Below are 10,637 nucleotides of genomic sequence, written 5' to 3'. Positions count from 1 at the left end.
TTCTGTGCTCATTTTTCTTTCCCATTTTTTTCTGTGGGGCTGGGGCCCCAGAAAAGGTTGTACATAGTCGGGGAGGTGGTCAGAAGTATTTTCTCTTTGGTAAGGACATTGCTGCCAAGGTTTCAAGGTACCCCTTATGCCCTTAGAGGGTGAAGGGACTCTTCCCTCTTCTCTGGATCCCAGAAGGAATAAGCAGCATGGGCCCAGGATGGTTTGGGGGAGCAGCAGCTGATGTTTATTAGAGACCAGTACCCCTATGCCAGATCTTGGGGGCTTTGCCCCCGGAATCTTTTGCTTCAGCTTCAGTCGTCACTGTCGAACTCTGAGGATAGACCCTGCAGCAGGGGCAGGGACATGGAGTGCCCGTCGGGGTCCCTGGGGCCCCCACCCTGGGCTCCTGGTGGAGGGCTGCGGGGGCTGAAGAGCCAGTTCTCTGCCAGGGTTGGGGATAGTCACAGCTTGACTCATGGCTGGTCTTTTCCCCCCCTAGCTTTTCCCTCTGGTCCTCTGTGCCATCCCAATCCCCTTCCTAGGGCCTCCTCATTCCATCTCACCCTCCCCAGTCTCCCTCATTCCATCTCTTTCACCAGAGCCCTGTGCTGAGTAATGGATTCCTCACATACTTAATTCTCATGCCTTCTCCCTCCTTCACTTTGTCCCTCCCATCCATCTCATCATCATTTCCCCTAGTAGTACCTGACAGTATCTGGGGCCCCCTCCAGAAGGGGTTTCGGCCCTTGTAGGAGAATCTGGTGGGTTTGTCCTCTGGCCCTTCCTGGGGAGGTGGCGTAGGTGGGGCTGGGACAGGTGGGGGCACATCAGCAGCTTCAGTTGTATCAGCAGGTGCTGATGTGGGGGCCAGAGGCGGCATGATGCTGAGGTTGGGTCTGACCCAGTTGGCCCCATGGGGCAATGGGTCTTTAGTGAGAGGCTTCTGTGGTCCCAGCACGCCCTTAGACTGCAGTGAAAACTTGAGGCAGGAGAAGGCAACAGGTAATGACCGAAGTAGCCGGAGGAGCTGGGGCTCACGGGCTGTAGACGTCAGCCCCAGCTGCAGCCAGGAACAAGAGAAGACCTGGTAGATGACATAGATGCTGTGGGTGCTTCGGAGCCAGGGAAGAGTCTGCTGTAGGCTCACCTGCCCTGGTGGCAGCAACAGGAAGGCAACCTTCTTGCGCAGGTCACCCATATGTAGGCGGATCTTGCAGGGCTGTCCATCCAACATTCGCGTCTCTTCATAGGCTCTCTCTGCTCGGCCATTTGGTGAGTATTCCCGAGTGCAGTGGGCGAAGGCACCCTCAGATCCTGCCTGCTCCAGGAGGCTTGGTAGTGGCCCCACTGGTTTCAGTGCCCTCCGGCCCTGCCGACCTGGCAAAGCCAGGCGGGTATGGGCTGGGCGGGACTGTTTTACCAGCACACCCAGTAGGTCATAGCAGGCTGCATCTGACAGGAAAGGTACTGCTACTGCATTGGGCCCAAAGTGCTCCTCGATGACCTGCAGGTGGCCAGTTTATAGGTCAGGGACTTAGGGTCAGAAGTTAACTGGTTGCCTACTTTAAATTGACCCCCAGGTTCACGTTCAGTTACATCTCTATAATGTGTTCAGATTTATGCTTTCTGCTTACCTCCCAGCTCTCCGGCAGCAAAACCTTGAATGTTTACGTGTCAAACTATCTAAGTACTGGGAAAACATAAAAGAATGAGACTTTGTCTTTGTCCTAATATAGTTTAGTCTACTGGAGAACACAAAAATGTAAACAGTCTGCTATGTAAAATATTAATAGAGAGCAAGGTGTGAAGGAGACAGGAAGTGATTGAACAGTCTTTACCTTTCATGGAAAGAGGATCAAGGAAGGTTTCTAGATGGTGATACTTGAGTTTTGAAGCAATTATCTAGGTAGGAGAATGGTCAATTCAGGCATAAGAGTCGGTGAAAAAACTTGAATTTACAAATCAAGGGGGGCACATTTAGGAACACATAATTTTATATTGCTGGTATGTATGGTATGAGGAGGGAAAGGCACACAGGAACTAGATTATGAAAGGCTTGTGTGTATGTCAAGTGAATTTTGTCCTGAAGGCAGTGGGAAGCCGCCTGAAGGCCTCTGGGTAGGAGGAACAGGATCAGATAGGTGTTTCTGAAAGCTAATTTTTTTTTTTTTTTTTTTTTTGAGTCGGTTCTCCTTCGTCGCCTAGGCTGGAGTACAGTGGTGCGATCTCGGCTCACTGAAACCTCTGCCTCCTGGGTTCAAGTGATTGTCCTGGCTCAGCCTCCCAAGTAGCTGGAACTACAGGCACCCACCACCACACCTGGTTAGTTTTTTGTATTTTTAGTAGAGATGGGGTTTCACTCTGTTGCCCAGGCTGGTTTTGAACTCCTGAGCTCAGGCAGTCCGCCTGCCTCAGCCTCCCAAAGTGTTGAGATTACAGATGTGAGCCACCGCGCCTGGCCAGAAAGCTAATTTTTAATAGGAAGTCATAAAATAAGAGTATTGCAATACTCCAGGCAAGGCATAATAAGGTCCTGAACTAAAATAGTGAGGGAAGATATTAGAGATATTTAGGTTATAGAATTAGTAGAACTTAGTCACTCAGGAGGTAGGGAAAAAAGAATCCTCGGCTGTGCACCCTGGCTCATGCCTATAATCCCAGCACTTTGGGAGGCCGAGACAGGTGGATCACCTGAGGTCAGGAGTTGGAGACCATCCTGACCAACATGGTGAAACCCTGTCTCTACTAAAAATAGAAAAATTAGCTGGGTGTGGTGGCACACGCCTGTAATCCCAGCTACTCATGATACTGAGGCAGGAGAATTGCTTGAACCTGGGAAGCGGAGGTTGCAGTGAGCCGAGATGGCACCACTGCACTCCACAGAGTCTCAAGAAAAAGAGAAAAGAATCTTTAAGGATTCTTCTTAGGTGACTGGTTACATGGGTGATGTCTTTAATCAATAGTAGGTTACGCAGAAATAGATTTGGAATGTCCATTCTTATACCATATCTCTTACCTCATAGTATATGCCTTCTACCCTAGCTGCAAGGGGTAGTTCTTGTAGGGAATTTGAGGCCTCATCTTTATAATGTTAGTTACGGTATACTTTCAGGGATTTTAGTTAATCGTGTGTGTGTGTGTGTGGTTTGTTTGTTTGTTTGTTTGTTTGTTTCATCATGGCCTTTTTGGGGTTGGTAACCCTGGAAAGTTTATTTCATGACTAATTGGGAAACCTATAAGAGCCTCTCTAGTAATTGTACTTAAGTATGGTTTCAACCCATTCAGGATTTTGTGGCTGATGTTTCTGGTTCTCTGCTCTACTAGGGAGCAAGGGCACACAGAATTTCCTCTTTGGGCATCTCTTATATTTGAGCCCAGTGCTTACAGTGCTGTACTCTACTCCCTACCTCCAGGACCAAATTTCGCACATCTATGCCCCTACTGATGGCATTGCCCTCTTTGTTGGCCTTCTGGTAGAATTCACCAGTGGCTCCTTAAGGCTGATCTGCTTTTTCTACAAAGCTGTTTTGGAAGTACTGCCTCCTAGCATAAGAGGAAGGTAGCTAACTATGGAGTTGCATCTGCACCTTGGATAAGCTGAGGTAGCTTGTAGACTACTGTCTTGTCACCTGGCTGAAGGAATAACTGATGTTCTTTTGTGGTCTGCATGGGACAGTTTCCCATCATTCCTTCTCCTTTGCTTCACTGGAAAACACTTCCTTTTGGGTGGGGCTCTGAGAAGGACCAGTTGCGTTTCCAGGGAGAGAGCAGAACACTGGTGGGTTGACATTTTTGGATGCAATGCTTTGCCCCATGACCATGAAATCAGAGGCACCAAGCATGACATCAGAATCTCACACTAACTGCTCCTTTGGTGTCAAGGATCCTACACAAATAAGACAAATGGGAGTGTCTCTAGAAGAGGCCCCTCTGATAGGAGTGTGACATTTAATATATCTGGTGCTTATTATCCAAGTTTCTGCTAAAAGGGTGAATCTCTGGTTTAGCTGGAGGCTCTTTATTCCCCATACGCTCTTCCTATATGCTGACAGGCATTAAGTTGTCTAATTCTAACCCTCCTTAACCTTGACAGCCACAGTGGTTATCCTAAAATAGGAAAAATAAGGAGCTCGGTTCTTTGTTAGGGAGACTGTGTTCTTGGTAGAATCACTATTTAAGACTACTATGTGCTCCTACTGAACTTCTGCTTCTTCATAGAAATTATATGGACCTTAGGCCCACAAATTTAGGTTTTCCAGGGGCATCCCAGGAAAGTGATGGTGGAATATTGTTTTCCTAGATGTCTCTTGGTTGCTTCAAATTCTGAATGTGGAGCTCTTGAGCCACATTCTGTTTAGCCAAATGTTTTTACCATATGTTCAGTAAACTGTCCGTGGTTTTGGACACAGGAAACCAGGTCACTTAAAGGTGACCTAATCCTTGAATTTGCCCCGTAATGCCAGTGATTTATCCTGCATATCTCTACCCCGATTTTCCTGACAATTTTCAATTTAAATAGGATAGTGAGTTTTTCTGATACTCAGAGATGGCATAGCTTTCTAATAGTGGGAGACTGTTTATTTTCAATCTAATTCTGCTTGATCTAGTCCAGGACCAACCTTCTACACTGCTGAAACCAGTTGCTCTAATACTTGGGAAGACCTTGAGCTCTCCAGTTTTTGCTTCCCTGGGAAGCTGGCCTTTGTGGTAAGCAGCTACCCTATTTGGAATGGAAGCAGCATGCCATTAAATCTTCTTTGAGTGTGGTAGGCACTGCTTTAAGATTTTTTTTTTTTTTAAGCCTGGTAGGCTGACTTCTATGAATGTTTTAAATTCACCTTCCTTCAAATCACATAGAATCTGATTCTAAATTCTCTGATCTGAAATTTCCAGTCTGCAGCTGAAAAGTGATTTGGTAGGATTTGTTGGATATCTGCAACCCAGATACAGCTGAGATTGTCCTGCTCCTTAAAATATACAAATTTGCCTCAAAATCCAAATTTCTTATTTTGTGGAAGTTAAGGTGGAGGAGATCTGTGAAAGAGTTTCAGATAAAGTTCAGATTCTATAGGAAGCTGGTTCTATAGGAAGTCCTGGTTCTAAGACTAGCCCCTATATCTCTTTGGCTTTATTTTTACCACTGCTTCTTTGAACTCTGCTCTAGAAGATTATTAGGAGTTCTCAAATATGAGTTGTTCTTTTTCCTCTCCTTGTTTTTACAAATACTCTACATTTAATTACTATTAAATTACTATACACTCACCACCCTCCCATGCTCATTAATTCAGGTATTTATTAAGCACTTTTTGTCAGGTTCTCCTCTCCCTCTTTGTGTGAATAACTCCTGCTTGCCTAGCTAGAATGTCACTCTTTCCAGGAAGCCTTCCTGATCTCCTGTCTCACCCCTGACTTAGCGTATCTCCTCTTTGCTCATAATTCCCTATACGTTGCTTTTCAGTGAACCTTTTTTACTGTTTTTGTAGTTGTCATTAAATGGGGCGGTTCGTGCCAATAACTTTACTGCAGTGCCTGGCACATATGGAAGCAGTGAGTAAATGTTGGTTATTATTGTTTTCAGACTTCCCACCCCTTCCTACTCACAAGCTGCTGAGACCCATGCAGGTCACACTTCGTTGCTTCCTCTTTAGCCTCCTTACTTTACCTACCTTATCCTTGATGAGGGTCCAGGTGGCATCAGCTTCATCCAGTGTCAGCAGGTTGGGGGTACCCACCAACATGGTGGGGTATGGGAGGGATTGGGCAGGGCAGTGGCTGCTGCAGGAACCCCAGGCAGCCCAGGGAGGTGAGACCTGAGGTCTTGGGCCCTAAACCACTGCATGACATCATAGAGGTCCTGCTAGATAATTGTACCTTGGATAGGGGGAGGACAGTGACTTTCCTAGCTTCACTGCAGTCTGTAATTCTTACTCTTGAGTCACCTATCCATCCTCCTGCATTAGGGGAAGAAAATGCAGGGTCTGTTAGGGTGTGTTTGTATATGTGTATGTGTGTGTGTAGTTCTTGGTCTGAGTTCTTTAAGGAAACAGGATCAGGCCTCTCCTCCCTTCAGCAGCATCTCTGAAGCAATTTACTATCTTAGCTGCAGATGCTTCTCTGTGAGGTTGGATTGGGGTCCTAAAGGACACGGGAGAAGTACAGTTATGAGCCACCTAACAGTGTTTTGGAAAATGATATGTGACTGACAGTGGTCTGACGCCATAAGAGTATAATGCCATGTTTTTACTTTACTTTTTCTATGTTTAGGTATGTTTTGATACACAAATACCATTGTGTTACAATTTCATATAGTATTCACTACAGTAACATGCTGTACAGATTTGTAGCCCAAGAGCAATAGGCTATACCATAGAGCCTAGCTGTGTAGTAGGCTATACCATCTAGGTTTGTGTAAGTACACTCTATGATGTTTGCGCAATGATAAAATTGCCTAAGGATGCATTTCTCAGAACATACCCTGTTGTTAAGCAATGCATGACTATATAGATCAGGGCTTATACTGAGAACCAAGCAGTGGTCCCAGCCTTGGCTGCACTTTGGAATTGCCTGGGAGCTTAAAAATTACTGTTGCCTGGATCAATTACTGGTGCCAGAGATTCTGATTTAATTGATCTGGGGTGTGCCTGGGCATCACAATTTCTAAAAGCTCTTCAGGCAATTTTAATGCATAACTTACGTTGAAAACCATTATTAATGGGTGGGTTACAATTGCAATGAAAACCAGGTGTGTGTAGGAGGTTGCTGTGCTGAGCAGTGTGACAATGTGGAGGGTAAGAATATAATTGGGATAATGTTGCCTTAGTAACGAGAGAATTTTCAGGAAGCCAGAATTACCCAGGTAAATTTGAGAAAAAATTTCTTCATGCTCCACTCCCTGTCCTAGTCTGATTTGTGCCTAGTAGCTAGATAAGAGCTGGAATATTAGCTATGTGTTATCTCCTTTGCGTCTTTGTCCAGAGATCTCAACTGTGTTTTGCTAAAGAAGAACCATTCTAGAGAGCCTTTCCTGTAGTTAACTTTTCTACTCCGTACCTTATCTGTTCAAGGAGTCCTTTCTCTGAGTCCCTCTGGAGAGTCTCCTTTGTGCCCAGGAATACCTCTTGTGTGTAGGAGGTATCCTCCCCTAGCCCAGCCCGGCATAGCTCTGTAGAGCAGTCCCACAAAGTTGGCTGTCATCGGAGCTGGCTGAGGTGGTATGAGTGGGGGCATAGGCAAAGGTCCTGCAGTGGTGGGAAAGAGTGTTAGTAAAATTTTCCTAAAGGAGATGTAACTGGCCTCGGGAGGGCAGGTCTCCTTAGATAAAGCTATGAATATGGGTGCTGGGTCTTTGAGCAAAGGTTTTACAGTGGGTGTGGTCCTATTTTCCAGAGAGGAATTAATATCAAACATTTCCAGGAGAGGAATTATGCCAAATATTAATATTGAGCTCTTTTGTGCTAGGAGCTGTGCAAAATACTTTGAATTCATTATATTAATCCATTTGGTATCCTCTTGAAGTAGTTACTACTATTATCTCATTTTACAAGCAAAGAAACAGGTTCAGAGAGGTTGAATAATTACTCCAAAGCATATAGAGTGAGTTTATAGAGGATCTAGGATTCAGGTAAAAGTCTGCTTGACTGAACCTTTAACCAACACGTTCCTTTGGCTCACTTTAGTGTGTGGTGGGAGGAGTGTCTGCCAGATGGAAAGTACCAAGTGGTTTAGTGAAAAGGAAATGGGCAGGATAAGAGAGGAGCCACGATGGGCCGAATCAGAAACCCCAAGTTTCTTATTAAGACAAGTGAAACCAAATTCCTTCCTTTAGCACATTTTGATTATGGTTGACAAAAAGAGGTCACCTGGTGTAGTATAGCTGCACCTCTGTTCTCTCCAGGAAAGAATTCTGAGTGAGGCAGGTGGAGATAGAGCAAGAGAGAGACATACACAAGGACAAGAGACATAGATATGGGATAAAACTGACAAATGGTGCAAGGAGACAGAGATGCAGTGGTACAGAGACAATGAGAGTGACTGATAGAGAATGGTGTACATCCAGATCCCGAGGGGATTCCAGAATGAGAAGGGGAGGGATGAGGTAGGTGCAGGGATGGTGGACTGTGGTGACTTTACCACTATGCAGTCTATGCATATAGCAGAATTGCACTTGTACCCTTCAAATTTATACAAAAAAAAAAAAAAGGACGAGGAGGATCTCTTTAGGACTTTTGGGAGAGGGGCTCACAGGGGAAATTGTGACTGAAAACTTCTGACTGATTACTTCTCAGTTAGAAGCCCATACATTCTTCTGCTGCCTGATTATCATGATTCCCTAGGATCCCTAAATTCCCTACTGATCTACCCCAACACTAAGTAAGTCGGTCTTTCCTTTTGACTCAGAGAGAGACTGAAACTAAAAGTTACTGAAGGAAAATGGATGACTACTTGGTCCTGGATGGAGATCATGAGCCTAAGGGCTGCGCTCTTTGGGCCATATCCTGCTTATAGGATTTGCCTCTGGTATGGCATGAGAGACAGACCATCTGCAGGGTATCTGAGGGTGGTCTGAATGGAGAGCATGGGGGGAATAAACAGATGGATCTTTTTATCCAGAGAACACGAGGTTCTCAGTATGAACCTGTAGGGCAGTATAGAATAGTATTGACAGCAAAGACTTTAGAGTGATAAAGAGCCCTAACAAGTCTCTTCATGTCTCTCAGACTTCAAGGATAATCACACAGACCCCTCACACCTTATTTGAAACTTTTAGGGACAGATATTTTGGAATTCAGTTTTTTTCAGATTATAGAAAAGGAATATGATATATATATATCATATATTAAGGAATACCCCAGTGGGATTCAGGACAGTGCCCTATAATCAAACATCAACATTTCTGAAGTTAGATGTATGAACATTTACACTAAATAAGATAAATAAAGATTATAAATAGGATCATGATGGTTGAGATGTCAGCTTTTGGGCCAAAGTTATAAAAAAATATTGTTTCTTCAGAGTTTTATTTTGGAATTATGGATGAGGGATTGTGGGCTTATAATTAATTCTCAGGTTGTCATGAGGAATGAGAGTGTGGTAAAGCTCTTGAAACACATCATATGGTAGGTATGTATGCAATCTCAATTTGGAACAAGATACAAATGTCCAAGGGAGTGGATTTTTAGCTTGAAGGAAGAAAGTTGCTACAATGGACAACGTACAGCTCTGGAACCAGCTACCTTGAAAAGTTGTGCACAACCAGGGGTTGAAGGTGCCTTAGAAGAGAGTCTTCCTGTGGTGGGAGGGTGACAGAATTCATTGTTTATGAACGTTGGCTGCAGATGATTTCCCTTTCATGTATCAGAGGGGAAAGGCAAAAAATGGTATACCTGTATGTATGTGAGACGCAGGATTATCATACATATATTTATTTATAATCAATAAATATTTTACTGCATATATGCTTGTTCACATCTCAATTATTTTCTTAGGATAGATTTATTAAGGGGGAACTTATATATTTTTGAGACAAGGTCTCACTGTCACCAGGCTGGAGTGCAGTGGTGTGATCACAGCTCACTGCAATAAAGGGGAATTTAGAGTAAGAGAATGATACGAACATCTTCAAGACTTGTGACTCATTAGGATTAGAATTGTGTCACAGTTATCTGCAAAATCATTGCTTGGAGGCCAGTTAAACCCAGAACTTCATGAAAAAAATTAGTCTTGAGAATGAATGAGCACACACTTAGGTTGACTGTAGATTTCCTCTGTATCTACTTGCATGCAGTGTGATGATGCCTGTGAAAATGATACAGAGCTTCTGGGCTCTTTAGTCCTTGTTATTGATGACCTGCTAAGACCCAGTGTGGCACCGGAGATGGCATCATCTGCTTTTTCTGATCTGCAGTCTCCTCTTCTGTGTGGTGTTCCGTGGTCCATCTTGGTCCAGCTATCTGTGCTGAGTGGACTGGGTTGCTCCTGGCTTCAGGTTTTCATGGCTAACTCTAATACCTGTGGTTATGATCGTTTTCCTGGAGAGCTTGGGTTTGCCTTTGCAGTCTGCAGCTTTTTCTGATCTCATAACGGTGACTCCCTGCCTTCTGTCAGATTATACTTATTGTAAGCTCCGTGATAGTATTAAAGACCTTTGTTATGTAATGTCCCTTCCAGTGTGGTGTCTTAGCTGAAAATGAATCCCCTGTTGGGCAACACCACCGCACTTCCTGTTCTTGCTGCCCTGACAGTTACAGAAGTGTGAAATGTTTCATTTCATCATATTGCACTAACATCATGTGCTTCTAATGATGTTGGCCAAGACAAATGGGGGTGCCTATGGGGATTTTATCTGGGGATTATACCTTCTTGTTGAGGGTGCACAGAAGGGCAGATTGACAAGAAACCATAGTAATTCAGCCTCAGGCAATCAGATGATGTGGCTGCAGTGATTTTCTGGGATATCAACATTTCTTTCAGTGGACCCCTGACCTCTGCAGCTGCAGTCACAGGGGAAGAAGTTACAGCTGTTAATTTTGGGGGCTTTGGTGGGAGTTGGGGGAAGGAAGAATAGTAATTACACATGAGACCAAAAGAGGATTCTTTGAATTTGAAGTGGCCAAATTGGTACCACAGGGCACATTATTTAGTTTATC

The 10,637-nt window shown here is 44.3% G+C and overlaps 1 protein-coding gene across 1 annotated transcript, besides 1 other annotated feature; it reads right to left on the bottom strand.

Annotated features, from left to right (window-relative positions):
* On the bottom strand, positions 210–5,788 carry C11orf42 (chromosome 11 open reading frame 42). Its single transcript, NM_173525.3, has 3 exons — positions 5,658–5,788; positions 697–1,495; positions 210–433 (listed from the first exon to the last, which is right to left on the bottom strand). Exons 1-3 carry the CDS (start codon positions 5,727–5,729, stop codon positions 303–305), a joined length of 1,002 nt encoding a protein of 333 aa, NP_775796.2. The 5' UTR covers positions 5,730–5,788; the 3' UTR covers positions 210–302.
* Positions 9,540–9,740: a silencer, noted in NCBI's record as "peak1185 fragment used in MPRA reporter construct". NCBI's record gives its function as "represses an SCP1 promoter by STARR-seq MPRAs in K562 erythroleukemia cells {active_cell/tissue: K562}" and the evidence as "EXISTENCE:reporter gene assay evidence [ECO:0000049][PMID:32103011]".

Source organism: Homo sapiens, chromosome 11 (assembly GCF_000001405.40).
Source record: "Homo sapiens chromosome 11, GRCh38.p14 Primary Assembly".
Taxonomy (NCBI): Eukaryota; Metazoa; Chordata; class Mammalia; order Primates; family Hominidae; genus Homo; species Homo sapiens.
The sequence above is the reverse complement of the archived record's forward strand: the minus strand, read 5'-3'. Positions and strand labels throughout refer to the sequence as shown.

Coding starts and splice junctions, on each gene's coding strand:
- C11orf42 (NM_173525.3), bottom strand. CDS start 5,729: ATGTTGGTGGGTACCCCCAACCTGCTGACACTGGATGAAGCTGATGCC. Junction 1,496..5,657: donor GGACCCTCATCAAGGATAAG/GTAGGTAAAGTA, acceptor GGCCACCTGCAG/GTCATCGAGGAGCACTTTGG. Junction 434..696: donor GGGGCCCCAGATACTGTCAG/GTACTACTAGGG, acceptor CAACCCTGGCAG/AGAACTGGCTCTTCAGCCCC.